The sequence below is a fragment of the Homo sapiens genome, chromosome 8, assembly GCF_000001405.40.
Source record: "Homo sapiens chromosome 8, GRCh38.p14 Primary Assembly".
Classification (NCBI taxonomy): Eukaryota; Metazoa; Chordata; class Mammalia; order Primates; family Hominidae; genus Homo; species Homo sapiens.
Window position 1 is genome coordinate 94,224,446 of NC_000008.11, and position 19,977 is coordinate 94,244,422.

At 45.6% G+C, this 19,977-nt stretch overlaps 1 long non-coding RNA gene across 1 annotated transcript, besides 6 other annotated features; it reads right to left on the reverse strand.

Annotated features, from left to right (window-relative positions):
- Nucleotides 1-244: 244 nt before the first annotated feature.
- LOC105375648 (uncharacterized) lies at nt 245-3,644 on the reverse strand. The gene is made up of 3 exons (XR_928424.4): nt 3,594-3,644; nt 2,277-2,361; nt 245-1,150 (listed from the first exon to the last, which is right to left on the reverse strand). It is a non-coding gene; the product is annotated as an uncharacterized LOC105375648 (long non-coding RNA).
- Nucleotides 9,451-10,030: an enhancer, noted in NCBI's record as "NANOG-H3K4me1 hESC enhancer chr8:95246124-95246703 (GRCh37/hg19 assembly coordinates)". NCBI's record gives its function as "activates a minimal SCP1, AML or CMV promoter by ChIP-STARR-seq in naive and primed H9 embryonic stem cells {active_cell/tissue: H9 hESC(naive and primed)}" and the evidence as "EXISTENCE:reporter gene assay evidence [ECO:0000049][PMID:30033119]".
- Nucleotides 9,940-9,989: an enhancer, noted in NCBI's record as "active region_27627". NCBI's record gives its function as "activates an Ori minimal core promoter by ATAC-STARR-seq in GM12878 lymphoblastoid cells {active_cell/tissue: GM12878}" and the evidence as "EXISTENCE:reporter gene assay evidence [ECO:0000049][PMID:35858748]".
- Nucleotides 10,031-10,609: an enhancer, noted in NCBI's record as "NANOG-H3K4me1 hESC enhancer chr8:95246704-95247282 (GRCh37/hg19 assembly coordinates)". NCBI's record gives its function as "activates a minimal SCP1, AML or CMV promoter by ChIP-STARR-seq in naive and primed H9 embryonic stem cells {active_cell/tissue: H9 hESC(naive and primed)}" and the evidence as "EXISTENCE:reporter gene assay evidence [ECO:0000049][PMID:30033119]".
- Nucleotides 10,040-10,379: an enhancer, noted in NCBI's record as "active region_27628". NCBI's record gives its function as "activates an Ori minimal core promoter by ATAC-STARR-seq in GM12878 lymphoblastoid cells {active_cell/tissue: GM12878}" and the evidence as "EXISTENCE:reporter gene assay evidence [ECO:0000049][PMID:35858748]".
- Nucleotides 10,610-11,188: an enhancer, noted in NCBI's record as "H3K4me1 hESC enhancer chr8:95247283-95247861 (GRCh37/hg19 assembly coordinates)". NCBI's record gives its function as "activates a minimal SCP1, AML or CMV promoter by ChIP-STARR-seq in naive H9 embryonic stem cells {active_cell/tissue: H9 hESC(naive)}" and the evidence as "EXISTENCE:reporter gene assay evidence [ECO:0000049][PMID:30033119]".
- Nucleotides 10,640-10,739: an enhancer, noted in NCBI's record as "active region_27629". NCBI's record gives its function as "activates an Ori minimal core promoter by ATAC-STARR-seq in GM12878 lymphoblastoid cells {active_cell/tissue: GM12878}" and the evidence as "EXISTENCE:reporter gene assay evidence [ECO:0000049][PMID:35858748]".

Here is a 19,977-nt window from a genome sequence, read left to right on the forward strand (position 1 = left end):
TTTCCCAGCTCCTTTTTCCCATTATCTTATATCACTTTTAAATAGCTCATGAAGGATATTTTAGACAAATTCAGCCCCTTTTCCCCTGTGGCAAGTAATGCAATAAAAGCTAATTGATTTAGCATCCTATTGATTAGAAAGCAGGGATACAATACAATGAGAACTGATGACCACAAACATGACTCAAACGCGGCCAGATATCCTAAAGAAGTTTATGACTCATCATCAAAACACAATTATATTCCAAAGAGGCCAAGCATTAAATGTATTTTATTGAGTTAAGTTTATCTGACACTGTTCAGCCACAAATGGTCATGTGAAATCCATAGAACCAGAATACCTGATTAGCCAGAATAACACATTCTCAGACCACGCTGGCTTTTCTACCATTGGATCTAGACAAACATGACCCTCTGCAGCATACATATTTACTGCATCACTTGAAGATTGTGGAGAAGATAGACTTAGAGCTGAACTGGAAAGTATATGACAGAAAAATGTCTGGAGACAGTTATTTCATAATATATCATTTCTAAGAAGAAATTAAGCACTATAATTTGCGAGCCTGCAGTGATGCCTCAATGCATTGAGTAAGGTCTCTGGCATCAATTATGTTTAAGTAATAACATATGTAAAGGGCCTGTGTCTGCCCAAACTGTCAAGGGCTCCTAAGTGGCATCTATTGTTATTATTATCATATTATAATTATTAAATCATGATGCTTATCTTATAGGTACTTATAATAGAACTAGGTTGGTAGAAACTGGCTTGTGTTGTCTTTTATCTTCAAAAGTGGAATAGGTGTGTGTCTTTGGTCTTACTTTGAGTTAAGATTCACTTAAACGTAGTGCAATCTAATAATCACCAAACGATTCCTTCATTTTCTGCTTTTAATTTATCTCAAACAAGCAAATAAATGAAAAGCAGGCATGAGACAAAAAGGCTATTCCACAAAATCTCTGCGGAAAAAGGGCTGTGAGCCCAGTTGTTGAGTGAAGTTCCTCAGTCCAGAGAAGGCAGCAGAGAATGCCAATGTTGGCGGGGTGCAGTGGCTCACGCCTGTCATTCCAGCTTGGGAGGCCAAGGCGGGCAAATTGCTTTGAGCTCAGGAGTTCGAGACCAGTTTGGGCAACATGGCAAAACTGCATCTCTACAAAAAAATACAAAAATTAGCAGGGTGTGGCCACCATGTGCCTGTAGTCCTAGCTACTCAGGAGGCTGAGATTGGAGAATCGTTTGAGCCTGGGAAGCAGAGTCAAGATCGTGCCACTGCATGCCGGCGTGGGTGACAGAGTGAGACCCTGTCTCAGGGAAAAAAAGAGAGAAAGAGAGAATGCCAATGTTCTCATTGTCTCTCGTATCTCTCTGAGTCAGTGCTCTCCAGAGAAACAGAGCCAATAGGATATGTATCTCTACACAGAAAGATTTCTTTTAAGAAATTGGCCCATGCAATTACAGGCTAGCAAATCTAAAATCCGCAGGGTGGGCTGGTTGGCTGAAGACCCAGGAAAAGCCAGCGTTTTGGCTGGAGTCCGAAGGCCAGCTGTCTGCTGCAGAATTCCATCTTGTTGGAGGAAGTCAGTCTTTTGTTCTTTTCAGGCCTTTGACAGATCAGATGAGGCCCACCGGTACTAGGGAGGGCAACCTGCTTTACTCACGGTGCACAGATTAAAATGGTAATTTCATCCAAAACACCCTCACAGAAATATCCAGAATTGTGTTTGACTGCATACCTGGACACCATGGCCCAGCCAAGTTGATACAGAAAATTAACCATCATAATCTCTAATCTCTCCCTCCTTCCCTCTGTCTCTGTCTCCATCTCTCTCTCTCTCTCTCTCTCTCTCTCACACACACACACACACACACACACACACACGAGCAAAGTTTATCACAAAGTAAGGAAGAAATGCAGGGTGCAGTGGCTCACGCCTGTAACCCCAGCACTGTAGGAGGCCAAGGTGGGCGGATCACCTAAGGTCAGGAGTTCGAGACCAACCTGGCCAACATGGCAAAACCCCATCTCTACTAAAAATACAAAAATTAGCCAGGCATGGTGGCACACGCCTGTAGTCTCAGCTACTCAGGAGCTGAGGCAGGAGAATCTCTTGAACCCGGGAGGCGGAGGTTGCAGTGAGCCGAGATCGCGCCATTGCACTCCAGCCTGGGCAACAGTGTGAGACTCCATCTCAAAAAACAAACAAAGTGAGGAAGGAAGCATCAAGGTGTGATGCCAACCACCAGGGCTATCTTGAGACCCTCGGAGAAGTCCATACCTGAGGAGAGGAGCACTGAGCATTATTGCATCAATTCCAAGTAGGACTTCATCTCTTCTTTCATGAGAAAAATAATTCATCGATTCTGAAAAACAGCATTCATTATCTACCTACGATGCCATTTTTAAAACGTCTCAGGTAAATATTGTTCTATCCCCATCTCACAGATAAAGAAACTCTTTTCAATTAAGTGACTTGCCCCAGCATCCATTGCTAAAAGATGGAAGAATCTAAATTTCAACACAAGTCCTCAAATGTCTCTTGTGATTTCTCTCCATGCTGCCCCACAGGTAAGGAAAACAAGAATGTCAGCAAATGTCTGTAACAGAAGAAACCTGCGATGTTGAGCGTGGAGTAGTACACTTTGTTCCAGGATTCCATCTCTGGTTAGGGGATGTGTGGGAAGGAGCACTCACAGACAGATATGCATCCAAGCCCATGGCCTGCAAACCAGAACCTCTCCTGCTAAAGAGATTTGTAGATGCTTATGGGAGCAAGAATTGCCCAACCTACCACACTCTCTAGGCAAATGTCATCTGTTGGAGATTCCGACTGAGGTCCTGGAAGGGCTCCCACATGGGCCATCTGCCAGGCCTCTGATGTCGGCCAACTGCCAAGCTTAGGCTAACGGTTGCTTGTAGTTGGTGGCAGAGCTATTCCAAAGAACTACTGAGATGCAGGCAACTGATGACAGGGCTGCTCTTTTGTCTCTCTAGCTGGCCCCGCACAGTACCCTAAGCGACCCACTCCAGGGCTCCCCTTGGGAAACCATGTCCGTGGATCATGCTTAGCACTGCCCTTGTTCTAGCCGTGCGTGGTGGCGCGTGACCGTAATTCCAGCTACTCAGGAGGCTGAGGCAGGAGAATTGCTTGAACCCGGGAGGCGGAGGTTGCAGTGAGCTGAGATTGCACCACTGCACTCCAGCCTGGGTGACAGAGCAAGACTACATCTCAAAAAAAAAAAGGATAAAAAAGAACTGCCCTTGTTCATGGCTGGATGTTCAGAGGGTGGAAAAATGGAAAAGGTGGTTGTTATAGAAGCACTTGAGCTGTGTGCTTTTAAAGTTTGGGTTGGGATTAGTTCTGGGAACGTGGTCTACCTTCTTTCTTCCTCCTGTGCCCTCTTTCGACCCACCCCACAACTTTGTATATCAAATGGCAAAAAGAATCCTATTCCTGCCTTAGTTCATTATCTGACCTTCAGTAGGACCAGAGGCCTGGGAAATGGGGGCGAGGCCGAGTGTGTGGTAGAACCACAGGCATTCTAGATGCAGACATGAGTGAGAATCACACCCCAGTCCATGGCATGTCACCCACCTGGTACTTCAGAGGAAGCTAGTTCTGCCACGGCCACCTCCTAGTGAAAGCGACACAGGAGGGCCTGCCTTCCCCTCTGCAGTGCCTCTCGCTGCAAACACTTGACCAGTGCACATTTGCCAAAGTTCTGAATGTCAGAGCCAAGCTGAAAACCAGTGCAAGATCAGTCCATCTAAGTCAAGGCAGCTATGTGCATGTCCTAAATTATAGTTGCAGAGGGGTAATCCCAGGCTGTTTAGTACAAAGATAATGATCAGAAACTAGGAAAATGGTTGCTTTAATTCAAAAACCACATTGCTAGCAATAAGGTGATAACCATGACAAGATTCCTGTACAGAGGGTCCTGCACCAGGAAAAAGATAACATTAACTCATTCCGATCTGAAAGCATTAGCCATGATGTACTTACTATTATTACTATTTTCTAGTGAGGAAACTCTGACCTAAGGAGCATAAGTAAACTTCCACAAAGTAACTCAGCTAGTGAATTGGTACCACCAGGATTTGAAGCCAGGAAGTCTGATTCCCAAGTCTAAAAACGTAACCACTCTATTATATGGCATTCTGATTGTATAATGTTTTTGTGCTTATGAGGCATTGTCAGGCCTGCTGTCTGTTGAGATTTATCATTTTTTTAATTCCTCCATCTTATTTTGCGTAATAGTATCACATCCATTGGTTTATAATAAAGACTATAATAAAATTGTATGTCTTCTGGCCAGGCATAGTGGCTCACGCCTGTAATCGCAGCGCTTTGGGAGGCTGAGGTAGGAGAATTGCTTGAAGCAAGGAGTTCAAGTCCAGCCTGGGCAACAAGGCGAGACCCGTCTCTACTAAAAATTTAAAAAAAAAAAAATAGCTGGGCACAGTGGTGTGCACCTGTAGTCCAGCCTGGGCAACAAAGCAAGACCCCATCTCTACTAAAAATTTTTTTTAAAAGCTGGGCACGGTGGTGCACGCCTGTAGTCCCAGCTACTTGGGAGGCTGAGGTGGGAAGATTGCTGGAGCCCAGGAGTTTGAGGCTGCAGTAAGCTAGGATTGTGCCACTGTACTCCAGCCTGGGCAACAGAGAAAGACCCCATTTATTTAAAAAAAAATGAATGTTTTCCAAATATTTTTATAATTTAAATATTTTCCCACTAAATAAGATCTTATCTGTGCCATTTCTCTATAATTTTCCACATACATGGCTTTTACTGGGCCGAGGAGGCTACTGAAAATATGAGATCACATACTCACAAGGGATGTGGGTACTCCTTCCCTGACACCGTGTTGCTTCTTTTAGGTCACATTAAGGTTTAGTTTCTTTCAAGACTGTTACTATTTTATCAGAAATTAAGACCTTAAATTAAGTACTAATTCATTTTCACATCTCAGTGAATGAGATGAAAGGAAACTGAAGTGAGATTTGGGTTTTCTGGTTTTCACTTTTGGGGAGAGATTTTTTTTTAACATGGGGTCTTCCTGAAGTCATACCATGGAGGTAATCTCATTCAGGGTCTGTAGGTAGGTGAGCAATCTGTTTCAAGATGAAAAGAAATTGTATAGGGTTTTAAAAGATGTCATTCCAATGCCTTAAACAGTCCTCACAGTGTTATAGGCAATACTGTGACCTGACTCTTCACATGGTTGCTGTGACATCATAACTTTTTTTTTTTTTGAGATGAAGTCTCACTCTTGTCCCCCAGGCTGGAGTGCAACGGCACAATCTCAGCTCACTGAAACCTCCGCCTCCTGGGTTCAGGAGATTCTCCTGCCTCAGCCTCCCGAGTAGCTGGGATTACAGGCACCTGCCACCACGCCAGAACAATTTTTGTATTTTTAGTAGAGACAGGATTTCACCATGTTGGCCAGGCTGGTCTCGAACTCCTGACCTCAGGTGAACCACCTGCCTCAGCCTCCCAAAGTGCTCGGATTACAGGCATGAGCCACTGCGCCCGGCCTGTCATAACATCTTTAAGCCTCAGTTTTCTCAACTACAAAATGGAGCCAGTAATATCTACTTCTTGAGTTTAGTAAGATGTTACTAAAATACTAAAGACGGCCAGGCAAGGTGGCTCATGCCTGTAATACCAGCACACTGGGAGGCCAAGTCAGGTAGATCACTTGAGTCCAGGAGTTCAAGACCAGCCTGGGCAACATGGTCAAACTCCATCTCTATAAAAAATACAAAAAAATGTAAGACAGGCGTGGTGGCATGCACCTGCAGTCCTGGCTACTTGGGAGGCTGAGGTGGGAGGATCACCTGAGCCCAGGAGGCTGAGGCTGCAGTGAGCCATGATCACACCATTGCACTCCAGCGTGGGTGCCAGAGTGAGACCTTATCACAAACAAAAAAGACCTAACACAACTCCTGACACAGGATGCAAAGAATAACAGCTGCAATTTCCACGATTTCCCTAGTCAGAGCTCTACCAATCACCAGCTGCCTGACTTCGAATGTGCTTAACTCTTCTAGATTCGGTTTCCTTGTATGTGTATTTAAATGTCAAAGGGTCCTGCTGACTCAGACTCCCTGTAATTCCAAGATGTCCTCTGTCCCCCTGCCCCTACCCAGTGTGCTGCTGGCTTCCCCCACGGGCTGGCACTCAGACCTGGCCTAGGCTCCTGTTAGCAGATTTTCACATCTTTGCCCACATCTACTATTTCCAAGACATCTGCACTGAGCTAAGTATGCCCGTCACACACTACTCAAGCACTTGCACAAGTGTGAGGCACACAAAACGAATGTTGGGCTGAAGAAAACTCAACTTGGAAAAGAAAGGGGAGACACAAGTTTGCCACAGAATTTTCTTAATGTTCTTAATAATCTACAGTTGGCAGAGCTAAGGGTTCCCCCAAGCAGTGGAAGTGTCTCTTTTGCATTCTTCCAACACTAGCATGCCCCAGCCCAGAATAAAGGCAGCACCACCTCTCTACCCATTGTCATCACATTTGCTTGGAAACTGGACCAAAGAGTAAAGCAAACTGAGGATAAGCTTAGTAAACCATGGGATGCTGAATGAATAAAACAGGAATGACACGCTATCCACTGCTTACGGAACACTTACTGTGCATCTCAGTATAACCATGTAGACATTTCACCCTCACAACAATCCTATGATGTAGGTAGCTATTTATGAAGAAGGAATTTTAATTATCCTCATTTTCAGATGAGGGAACTGAGGCAGAGAGAGGGGAGGTGACCCATCTTCAGAATCCTTCTTCACCACAACATTATACTGCCTATGATAGCAGGAGTAACAATGATGATAGCTTATATGTAGTGAGCACCTGAAATGCACTGGATGCTTTATCAATGGAATAGGAAAAAGGAAACTGTTCGTGTAAAGAAAAACAAAAAATAAAAACAGCTTGTAGATGTCCATATTTTAGGTGAGAAATTCATCTCAGAGGTACATGGTGTTTTAATGTATTCCAGTAGTTTTCAACCCTAGCTACACTTTAGAACAACCTGGGGACCTTCTAAGCAATAGCAATATCTAAAACCTACCCCAGACCTGGGTGTGGAACCCAGATATCAGTAAATTTTTTAAACTTTGCAGATCACTCTTGTGCCCAGCGTGTTGAGAACCACTGGTTTACTTCGTTCAAACACACTTAGGATATTTTTCAGTTGTGAACATGATTGGAAAGAAAAAAAATTGTCAACAAAGGAAAATAAATATTATACAATAATTTGGAGACTTCTTCAAAAAGAAAGAAGAGTCGGGGCCCATAGAATAGGCAGAAGATAATATTGGGAAAGAGCTCTAGTCCAGGTGGAGACACTGAAGATCCAGCAACAGGACAATAGGTGAGACCCTGACGGGGAAGACGGCATGGAAGGTTGCAAAAAGTGGATACAATACTTCACTACTTCTGTGGCCATGTCCTTTGCAATACGGCTTTGGAGCTTCTCCCATTCAAACATGGTGTCTATTTCCCCTTTCCTTGAATATGGGCTGACCCTGTGACTTGCTTTGACCAGCAGAATGCAGTGGAGTCCCAGTTCAAGCCCAGGTCTCAGAAATCTTGCATCACACTCACTCACCATGTCCACAAACAAGCCTAAGGCTCATCCGCTTCAAGTTGACAGACCACATGAACCAGAGCCCAAGTGTCCCAGCCAAGCCTCCAGACATGTGAGAGGGTCCCAGCAAGATTAGCAAATGGACCCACAGTTCATTGAAGACCCATATGAAAATCCAGCAGAAGCTGGAAGAGCCACCCAGCTGATCCTAAATTGCTAATACACAGGATTGTGATAACTGAGTTTGGGGATGATTTGAGGATGGTTATGTCGAATTAGCTAAATGGCCAGTGAGAAGGTGGAGAGACATAAGAGGGTAATGTCTAGCACTCAGTTTTAAGTTGTTATCTGATCTGGGCTGTAAACCCCCTTAAACCACCCCAAATAGGCCCAAATCTTCCATAAACACACAACCCTGGTGAATGATGCCTTTCCTAGTACATAGTGGAAGGGGAAGAAGAGGGAATACAGAAGGGAAGTCGTGGCAGGAAAGATGCAGAGGGGGCTTCACAGCTCCAAAGAGGCAGGAAACCAGGGTGGGAGGTTATCAGGAAGGAAAGCAAATCCCCCACAGAATTCCCAGAGCAGTGAGGGAGGGGAGATTGGACAAGCCAGAGCATGTGGAATGGGCCTTGGGTGAGTCTGTTGGGATATTAAAGAAAAGGGTGACACTGTCAGGCTGGAGGGCTAGAAACACACCTGCAGCAGACCCTTGCATCCAATCCTCATACCCACCATGACAGGGAGAGATTTATCACCCTCATTTTATAAGTGAGAAATCCAAGGATTGGAGAGGTTAAGTAACCTCCCCAGGATAACTCACCCGGGAAGTGGTGGAACCAGGTGTGCCTGACTCAAGCTCTCTGAGTAGATCTAATTAGCTGGTCAGAGTTCTGAATGTTTTTTCCCGGAACTCCAAACTCCCAGGCCCTCACTGCACTAGTGAATAGCGCGGAGGGGCGGGGGAGGGAATAACAGGAAAAATAAAGGAAGAAATTGTCAACAAAGAAAAATAAATGTTGTACATGAATGTGGAGACTTCCAAATTCTTATTTGAAGCGTGAATAAAGTGATCCCAAATCCTCAGATCCAGATTCTCCCATCCCAATCAGCCGCCTGAGACTTTTCACTCCAATGAGCACTCCTATTGGCTTCCTTAATTTCCCCTCCACTGTTTTCAGCAGAAGCCAGTGTGTCAGCTCCTGTGCTCACAACGTCCTCCCCCACCTGGCGGCACTGGTCCTCCATCAGGAGCTGAGAAGCAGCCTGGGGTCCCATGACTTACTGCAGTTACCCAATTCCTCCTCCCCAGAGTTTGTGCTCTGCTCCAAAGCGCAGAGAAGCCACACACACACACACGCTCACACACACGTACACACACACACCCTAACATACACACACCACACACATACACTCACCACACACTTCCACACACACCACACACTCGCACACACACATACATACAAACACTCATACACACACACTCATACAAACATACACACACACTCATACACACATACACACACACACAAGTGTTTGCTGCCCCTCACGTGGTACAGTAGGGAAAACCACGACACACTCGGGGTCACAGGGAGCATCTGAACCGAGAAGAGCCCGCCCCACAGCTCCTGCTTCCACCCCTCTCTGCGGACACAGAGTCAAAGTCATGTGGGTATCCTGGGAATTTCCCCCCTAAAAAAACTGTGGCCGGGCGAGGTGGCTCACGCCTGTAATCCCAACACTTTGGGAGGCTGAGGCGGGTGGATCACCTGAGGTCAGGAGTTCGAGACCAGCCTGACCAACATGGTGAAACCCCGTCTCTACTAAAATAAATAAATAAATAAAAATAAAAAAATTTTTAAAAATTGGACAGGCGTGATGGCACATGTCTGTCATCCCTATTTGGGATGGCTATTTGGGATGCTGAGGCAGGAGAACTGCTTGAACCCGGGAGGCGAAGGATATAGTGAGCCGAGATCGCGCCATTGCACTCCAGCCTGGGCGACAGAGCAAGACTCTGCGTCCAAAAAAATAAAAATAAAATAAAATAAAAAATTATGTTTCTTGAGGAGAAAAGACAAAAACAACTGCCGCTTGATTTCTCTTTCAAATTCCAAGAGAATAGGCTTCATTATACCGCCCCAGGTCGCCCGCAGGTGGGAAAGCGGACAGTTAAGCCCATTTCTTCCCCATCTGCTCGGGTTTTGTCTTGAGTATTTCGCACAGCTCCCCCATCCGCCCTCTGGCGCTTCAGAGTCTGGAGGAATCCCGAGCTGCGCCTCCCTCTCCCTGCATCCCTGGCAGAGAATTTCCCCTCCCAGCGCGGGGGAGCCCATCCCTGAGGACTCGGGCAGGTCAGATGAGAATTGGTAGAAAGTGAAGCGCCTTTTCCTCGCGCTGAGGGCAAAGCCAGTGTGCAGCCGCCTGTGGGTGAGGAGCTTTTATGACAATGAATCCCGTGTTTTATGGGAGGGCAGTGTGGAGACAGCGCGGGCCGAGTCCCTGGGTTCCGGGGCAAGACTGTGGGCGTCTCCCGCGGTGACTCAGAGATGCTGCCCTGCCTCACACCATCTCGCACCATCTCTGTGGAGGCCGTGACCTTCATTCACTGCCGTCTGTCACTGGGGGGTGACCTCGCAGTTGTCAGAGCCCCCTCTCCTGGGGCTCAGGACTGGGATCACCCCCGCAACCCGGCGCTTCCAGCTTCATCTCGGGGCGCTCTGTTTACTCCTCCCAGGCCTGTGCCTGAGCTGCCGGCTACCTTAAAAGGTCCCCTCGGAGCTTCTGCGCTTCCCACACACTTCCTATTGCTAATAGCTGAGGCTGAGCTTAGCACGGCTGCTTGCAGGTTAAAGACCAGGGCCTGCGGGGCCAGCTTTCAGCAGGCAATGAGGACCCCACTTACAGCCACACACCTACCTTAAGGGACCGCCTGGGTTCCCTCATATCCAGTGAACTGCCAGCCCTACTTCCAGCCCTCCAAGTCTGGAAAATCACAGGAGGGGAGGGAGAGGGGCCCAGAGGGTGTAGTTGGGAATCCCTGGCTTGGAATCCAGAAGGGCTGGAGTTAGAATCCTGTCCTTTCACTGAGTGTCCTGGGCTAAGTTATTGAACCTCTCCTAGCCTCTTGGTAGAAGGGAGACTCTACTGCTTGCCTCGCGGGGTTGTGATGAGATAAAGGGGCCACAGAGAGTAGGTGTGAGCTCCATCCACCCATGTGGCAGGTCAACTCCACCTATGTCTCTAGAAACTGAGGTCAGGGCTTCAGCCCAACCCCTTTCTGTTGGTGGAGAGTGAGGTGAGCTATTTCTATCCCCTTTAAGCCTCCACTCCCCATCTGTGGGTTGGGGGTGCACCTCGTGATTTTTCAGCCTTCCCACAATGGCAGGAGGTCACGCAGCAGCCCTGAGGTGAGGACACTGCGTGGCTCAGGTGAATATGGTACTCGCTGTACCCGCCAAGCGCTAGATAGAGGGGACCAAGGCAGGCTTCAGGAAGAAGAAAGGCCTTTTGGGCCTGAAGTTTGCAGGATCCCAGATGGCAGGCACTGGGATACGGGAGGGCCTCAACCCTTAGCAGTGCCTTTCCCACCAGTTCCCAGATCCCTTTTGGAAAGTGGCCCAGTGCTCCCGCCTCTCCGCTGGCACTTATTAGGGGCTTCTGAGTCCGTGGGACCTGGGATGGCTTTGGGGCCTTGAATGTCTGTGATGTTTCCCCATCAAGGCCCCAGCCTCGGGCCTTCAAGCCGAGAATCCACCAAGGTCTCTTTGCAGCAGCTCCCTGGGCTCCTCTGGGTTGCCCCCTTCCTCCAGGAGGGAATCTGCCAAAGGGACAGGCTCCTGCTCTCTGGGCAGGAACAGAGCCCATTGTCCTCTCCATCCCCTCTGGTGATTCCAGAGGCAGGCAGACCCAGGATCAAAGGCTGCTGACAAGCTGTGGGATTCTGGGCAAAGTACTCAACCTCTCTGAGCCTGTTTCCTCCCCTATAAAATGACAATCATAGGCGCCGTGAGATTTCCATGAGATGATACCTGTGTCAGGACCCAAAGTAAGTGATTGGCAAATGATAGCTGTTATTTCATTGCGTGGGGACATCTGGGAGGAGCGAGAAGAGTCACAGCCAGTTACAGAGCAGAGAACACTGGACTGAGAAGCAGATCTGAATTCAAGCCCAGTTCTGCTACTTAATAGCCGTGTGTCGTTAGACAAGTCCCTTGACCTCCAACCAATGGGAAGAACAACGCGTCTCTCAGCACAGTTGTGACAATGCCTGTGAAAGCACACGGTGTCCAAGGGCTGCCAAAGTCAGGCATTGTTTCACAGACTCAGAATGTGACAGCGGCAGGAGGCCTTGCACACATCTTCACAAGAGCATGTAGCATGCCTGATGTAATGTCACGTCCCTGAATCCCTTGAACCCCGGAGGCAGAGGTTGTCGTGAGCCGAGATCACGTCACTGCACTCCAGCCTGGGCCAACAGAGCAAGACCCTGTCTCAAAAAATAACAATAATGATAATAATAATAATGTCATGGCCCTCTAGCACAGAGCCCCGTGCATAATCAAAGCTTGGTAAATGTTCGTTTTTGAATTAGTTGATTTAGCCCAACTCTTTTCACTTTATAGAGGAAAACTAAATTCTGAAGGACAGAGGAGACCAAAATATTTATGGAAGAGCTGAGGCTGCACCCCAGATCCCCAGTTTCCGGCTTCCTGGTTCACATTCTAGAAAATACTTCCCTCGGTACCAGGAGACCTCCCACTTCCCATCTCATCAGTCCCAGCTTTTTTTGCACTCAGTTTTCAGATTATTAATCCCCAAACCTGGTCTTCTGCGAAGCAAGGCTAGCCTTTGAGATCAGAGGATTAGGAAGCCACTTCAAAGCTTGAAAGGCCCAGCCCCCATATCTTTCCATCCCCAGTCTCCCCAGGCCAGCAGCTGTCAGATACTCAAGAGTTAGCAAAGCAGGCACCTGGCCAAAGTCATGCCGATACCTGCCTGGCCACATAGCCAGACCCTCTCCTGGGTGTCTACAGGGACTTCCAAAGCACAGCTCTAAGGGGGTAGTCATGGCAAATTTAGTGTATCAGGATGAGGAAACTGAACCGTGTTGGTTGTATGTATGCTCCTTCAGAAGAAGTTCATTATTCATTTTTGGAAGACCAGCTATTGCATTTTGGGTTTTTTTTTTTTTTTTGTCGTTGTTGTTGTTGTTTTTGTTTTTTTAATGCTTTTTATTTTCAGTAGAGATAGGTCTCACTATGTTGCCCAGACTGGTCTTGAATTCCTGGGCTCAAGCGATCCTCCTGCATCAGCCTCCCCAAATGTTGGGATTACAGGCATGAGCCACGGTATGTGGCTTGCATTTTGAAAAACAGAGTTCTTTCTACCTCCAGGAGCCTTATCAGCCTTTGTCCCAAGGTTTAGGACAGTGCTCATTAAAGACCTGCTCTGTCAAAATCTCCCATGAAGTCTGTACAAGAACATTGTTCTTTTTATTAGCATAGAGGAGCATTTCCCAAAACATGGTCTATGGAACATGAATCCTGTGAGATGCAGCTGAGGGTTTTATGGACAAACAGGTATGAGAAATGCTGCACACTATACCTCCCGGCCCGAAATTCACAAAGCAATATCAATAGCTCTAAGAACGTTCAGTGAAGAAAAGTAGTAGGTGTCTATTGCTTGGCCTGCCCAGCAGTCCTTTCTCCCTCCTTTGGTAACAGCATTCAGGTTTTCCTTTGGGGAACAACTCCCTCCCTCCCACCCACCATGACCCTGCATTTCATGTGGTCTGATTTGTTGAGACCATTCAGCGACAATGCTGCCTCATCCTCAACACATACACATACACACACACACACACACACACACACACACACACACACTCCCACCTGCAGGCCCCTAGCCAAATGTGGTAACCAGTGCAGAATTACATGCTCAAAAAAGATTACTGGAACTGAATCTCTCAGATCATAGCACTCTTAGAAGCTGTCCGTAAGTTCCTGTTACTAAGACTCCTAAATCTTTCCCAGATCCTGTACATCCAGTGATTTGATCGTTCACCTTTTCCTTTAATTCCTATGAACTATCTAAAATTATTCCAATCATTTTCTTTTTTTCCTTAAGTTTGTCTCTCTCAGTTGCTGTTGCTTGCAACAATGAACTCTAGTTGATGAAAGAAACCAATTTTTCACAAGCAAAAGATAATGAAATTGGACCCTTTCTTATTCTATATGCAAGAATTAACTCAAAATGGATCAAAGACCTAAACATAAGAACTAACACCATAAAATCTTAGAAGAAAACACAGAGAAAGTCTTTGGCAGTGGTTTCTTGAATATGACACCAAAGGCACGAGCAACAAAAGAAAAAATAGATCAATTGGACTTCATTGAAATTAAACTTTTGTGGCTCAAAGGACATTATCAACAAATTGAAAAGGAAATCCACAGAATGGGAGAAAATGTTTGCAAATCATGTCTAATAAATAATTAATATTCAGAACATATAATGAACTCCTACAACTCAACAATAGCAACAAAAAACAAATGACCCAGTTTAAAAATAGGCAAACGATTTGAATAGACATTTCTCCAAAGGAGAGATGCAAATGGCCAGTATGCACATGAAGAGGTGTTTGACATCGCTAATCATTAGGGAAATGCAAATCAAAACTATAATGAGATACAACTTCACACCCAATGGGAGTGATTATTATGTATTTTTAAACAAAAACACAGAAAATAATTGGAACGTGCGTACATCGCTGGTAGGAACAGAAAATGCTGCAGCCTCTGCGGAAAACAGTATGACAGTTCCTAAAAAAAAAATAAAATTGGAATTACCATAGGATCTGGTAATTCCACTTCTGGGCCCAAAAGAATTGAAAGCAGGAACTCAAACAGATATTTGTACAATGTTCATAGCAACATTACTCACAATAGCCAAAAGACGGAAGTAATCCAATTATCTGTCACCAATGGGATAAGCAAAATGTGGCAAATACAATGGAATAAGTTTTTTTAAGATTGAGAAGGAGTCTCGCTATGTTGTCCAGGCTGGTCTCTAACTCCAGAGCTCAAGCAATCCTCCCACCTCAGCCTCCCCAGTAGCTGAAAGTACAGGCTTGTGCCACTGCTCCCAGCTGGAATAATATTTAGCTTTTAAAATAAAGGACATTCTGACACACGCTCCAACTTGTGTTGGATGCATTATGCTAAATGAAAGAAGCCAGTCACAAAAAGACAAATATTGTTTAGGTACGTGGAGTAGTCAGATTCATACAAACAGAAAGCAGAATGATGGTTGCCAGGGGCTGGGGAGAGGGCAAAATGGGGTGTTATTTTATAATGGGTATAGAGTTTCAGTTTGAGATGATGAAAAATTTCTGAGTATGGAAGGTGGTGATGATTACACAACAATGTGAACATACTTTAATGCACAAAACTGTACACTTAAAAATTGTTAAGCTGGGCACAGTGGCTTATGCTGGTAATCCCCATGCTTTGGGAGGCCAAGGCAGAGGATCATTTAAAGTCAGGAGTTGAAGACCGGCCTGTGCAACACAGTGAGACCCCGTCTCTACAAAAAAATTTAAAATTAGCCAGGCACAGCAGTGTGTACCTGAAGTCCCAGCTACAGAGGAGGCTGAGGTGGGACCCCACAAGTTCAAAGCTGCAGTGAGCTATGATTGTACCACTGCAATCCAGCCTGGGTGACAGAGTGAAAACCTGTCTCTCAAAAAAATTTTTTAAGTGATTACAATGGTAAATTTTATGTTCTGTGTATTTTACCACAATAAAAATAAGAAAACCATTTTGCTTTCTTTAACCTAACTTTCCCTGAATTATTTGACCATGGAAATCCCCCTTTTCACCAGAATTCACATGAATATAATACAACAGAGAGCAAGGGTCCCAGAGAACACACTTGGGAAAGGCTGGCCTGTGGCATTGTGACGGGACCTTCAAGGATAGAAACCCCATGGTGGCACAGGGTGAGGCACTCACTGCAGGTGGAGGAGAAACACATTGGACCGGTCATTAGGGAAGGAAGATACCTGTATCTCACTCAGTAAATTAGCATTCGAGGGAGAGCCTAGAATTGCAGAGGGCAGGGAAGACATCTTCTTCTCTGCGTTTTGACATTATGATATCTATGAGGTAGCTTCTGAGTGGGAGTTCTTAAGAGGAATCCCCTATTGGAGGCAGAATTGGAAGCTTGCAAACAAATCCAGGCAGGAGGCCTGAGATAACATGCCTCTCAACATATGGCCCAAGAGGTAGGGGGCTAAGTACCTCTGATACTGTAGACTGTATTGTTTACATGCCGAATACAGGTTGCTTAGCAACCTCAGAACTGAATAAAGGCTTTTTGAAAATTTTAGCCTGTTCTCAGCTGCTAAGGGGAACTCCTTTGGCCAGGGAGTTTGGTTCATCCTTTGGCCAGGTCATTATGGCTGGATTACCCATGAGAACATTACTAAGGCTGCCCAATGGGAGGACAAAAATTTAGGATAATAGAGTAGAAGAGTCTCTGATTAGATAGCGGGTCCCTACTTCCAGAATTCCTCCCAGGACAAATCTCTGAAGGCTCTTGGTTTTCATCTGAATAAAGAAAATAATAAAATATAGCTAAAAGTTTTTGAGTTTTCATTATGTGCCGGGGAAAGCGCCAAGCACTTAGTACGCATTTTCCATTTATTCCCCTGAAAAAAACCTAAGAAGTGGATTACTTTTTAATTCATTTATTCAAATTCTCCATTCAGATGAAAAAGCTGAGCTTTAGAAAGATAAAATTACTTGCCCAAGTTACCCAGATGGGAGCCAGTGGAGCCAGGATTCAAATCCTGGCAACTGGATTCCAGAACCCACCCTGTTCATTGCCACTTTATCCCATCTTTTCAGCCACCCTCCCACACACCTCTACAGTCTGCTTCTTCCTTCTTAGTAGCAAAGCAGGTGGATTCTTCCTGTCCACTTCTGTCTTTTTTCCTATACTGAGAATTTTAACTTGGAGCACCTGTGAAACCCTAGAGGCCCATTTATCTGTTGGCAATGTTCTCCTTTTAAGCTGGGGAATGGACCGTGTCATCTTCAACCAGAGTTTTTTATGATTCAAACATCTTCCTCTTCAGCGTGTAAAATGGCATTTCTTATTGCCCAGTCTGCAGAGAGTCTCAAAGACGTAGTAAAGGAAATCAAATGAAGAGTTTCCTTCTCTTGCTGCCAGAAGAGATAGAGTTGGCATTTTCCCAACTGCTAATGTTTCTAAACTGGCTTTATATGTTCCCAGGGACAACAATCAAGCCCAGTCCAATAGGTCAGCAAACTAGGTGAGTGTCTACCTGCATGCTGGAAACAGGGCCTAACATGGGGGTGGGCACTGAGGTACCCACTGCTCCCGAAGATCTCTTTCCTGTGCCAGCCAAATACATGCCTGTCATTCTCCCTCAAACACTGGTGAATGAATTGAAGTGCAAACAAATCCTTATGCCACCTCATATGTGCATAGCACTTTAATAACCCTGCAGAGATTCGAATGCCCTTTAGAGATTACGAATCATTTTTACTTATCTCAGTCTTAAAAACCCTCCAAGGCAGGTATCAGTATTCTTACTTTATATAGGAGGATGTTAAAGCTCACTCATAGTTAGCAAAGACAGGACTAGCATCTAAGGCTTTCACCCAAGCCCAATGTTTTCTGGATGTAGAATTTAGCACTCATCTCTTACACAATTCTTTCACCTGGCAGAAGTCTGAAGCTGGGACAAGTAAATTTTGGTTGGTGCCCTAAGAAGAGCCACATCTGGATTGTGGAATAAGGACAAGAAGGAAGGGCCAAGCAAGAAGACCAAAGAGCCTGTCTCTGCAGAGCTGGGAAGCGGGGCAGCTGCCTGATCCTGATGTGGAGCCAAGAGACCGCACTACACGCTTGTGGGAAAGACCTTGAGCTGGGATCTGGAGCCCCAGGTTTCAGGCCAACTGGGCTACTGAGTCGCCTAGAGCACATCACGCTTGTCAGGGCATCATTTTCTCTCTGTATGAAAAGGATTTGGGGGATCTGACATCTAAGATACTCTCAGGCTCTAACAAGCTTGAGTCATCTTTGGGGGTCAGTAGGTCTGCGTGTGCTTCCATGTGACAATGAGAGCTAAATAAACGTCAGCTCCTTCCAGCCTCATCAACATCATCATCTCGGCTGTGACTCAGATCATCCACACATGATGAGTAAACAGTGCCCTTTGCACTGTGCTGCATGAAGCCGAGCGTGGGGGCGGTGGTCACAGTCGAGGCTGCCTGCCTGCCTCCCTGGGTTGCAGATTTATGGCATGGCAGTCCTTGTCGAAAAGACATCTGGAGGGCCTGGCTCTACCTATTTTTCTCCTACCCAGCTCAGAGGTACTTTTGCCCAGTCACTCCTCAAATAATCCAAGCTCCTCACACTGCTGTTTCCAAGTTTTGAAACACATTATGGCAGGCCACCAGTTCCATTTTATTAGCAAATAGATGAGTCACAGGGCCATTTCCTTTGGATTTTTAAGTAAGATTTCCACTTCTACCTCACTGTCTTGTCTGGCCTGATGTTTACAAAGAGAGAGGTTGCTACTTTCAAATACATGTGATTTTTAGTCAAATAAATCCTAACTGCTTGAGCTGCACCACCTCCAACACTGTTCCTTGCCCATTTCCTGATGTCATGCATTTGCCCTTCCTCTGTGTCTGTGGGTATGCCAGAGAAGTAGGAGTTCCCCCATTAGATACTTATTTTAGAATATCTGCCATCTGGATGGGATGAAGACAATGTGGCGTATTGCCACAATGGAATACTATTCAGTCATCAAAGAGAACAAAATCACGTATTTAGAAGCAAGATGGGTAGAACTAGTAGCCATTGTTTGAAGTGAAGCAACTCAGAAACAGAGACAAATACTGCACAGTCTCACTTATAAATGGGAGCTAAATAATGTGTACACATGGACGTAGAGAGTGGAATTATAGACCATGGAGACCTGGAAGGATGGGGAAGTGGGAGGGGGGTGAGGGATGAGAAATTACTTAGTGGATACAATGTACTTGATTTGGGTGAGGGATACCCTAAAAACCCTGACTTCATAGCACTCTGCAATATATTCATGTCACAAAATTACACTTGTACTTCATAAACTTATACAAATAAAAATTAATCAATAAAATAGCTGCCATCTGCACTGCAATTATTCCCTACCTTTAATCAAGACTGGCTTAAATGTGTATGTCGGCTGAGTGCAGTGGCTCATGCCTGTAATCCCAGCACTTTGGGAGGCCGAGGCAGGCGGATCACAAGGTCAGGACATCGAGACCATCCTGGCTAACACGGTGAAACCCCGTCTCTACTAAAAATACAAAAAAAAAGAAAATTAGCAGGGCGTGGTGGTGGGCGCCTGTAGTCCCAGCTACTCGGGAGGCTGAGGCAGGAGAATGGCATGAACCCGGGAGGAGCAGCTTGCAGTGAGCCAAGATGGCGTCACTGCCCTCCAGCCTAGGCGACAGAGACTCTGTCTCAAAAAAAAAAAATTGTGTATGTAATGTGTGTGTATATATATCTGAGTGCATACACACATGTATATGCATAATAGGTATGTATGTATATGCAAATAAAATTGCAAATACCTTTCAAGAAAGTGTTCTCCAAAGCTATCTCAAATTATCCACACGGTAATTTCTCCAAGTCAAGCAACTGCCTTGGGGCCTCTGAGTGATACTAGCAAGAGTACTTCTCAGTCCTCCTGCATTTTTACTTTTCCAGAAGCCTGACAGTAAGGGGGTAGTTTCTCTACTTCCAATGGAGTGGTTTAAAACGTTAATACAACAGAAGATACAAGAACATTTTTGTTTTATTTGAGCATGATCCCAGTAAAACTGAAATAACAATTACTTGTCCTGAGTTCCAGAAAGGGCATGCTCTAGGATACTCACCTTCCTTGGTAGATGCTGGAATAAATAAATAAGACTGACAGCATACCCATTTTTGGAATATATGTATTGAAGAGCGGAGCAAGACAAGAGTCTCATTGATATTTGTTTTACTAATTGTAGTACTCTACTTTTCCTTTAGCTGTGAGCCCCCTCTCTCCCACCTCTACCCTATTCCCCAACACGTGCACGCGCATGCACACACACACACACACACGCATATGTGCATGCACACACACACACGCATACGTGCATGCACACACACGCGCATACGTGCATGCACACACACACACACGCATACGTGCATGCATACACACGATCACCTGTATGTTCCTTCGCTAAAAACCTCATGTCCTTGGTTTGCATATGTTATTTTTTCCCTAGCTGCATGACAAGAAAAACAGGTGGATAATATT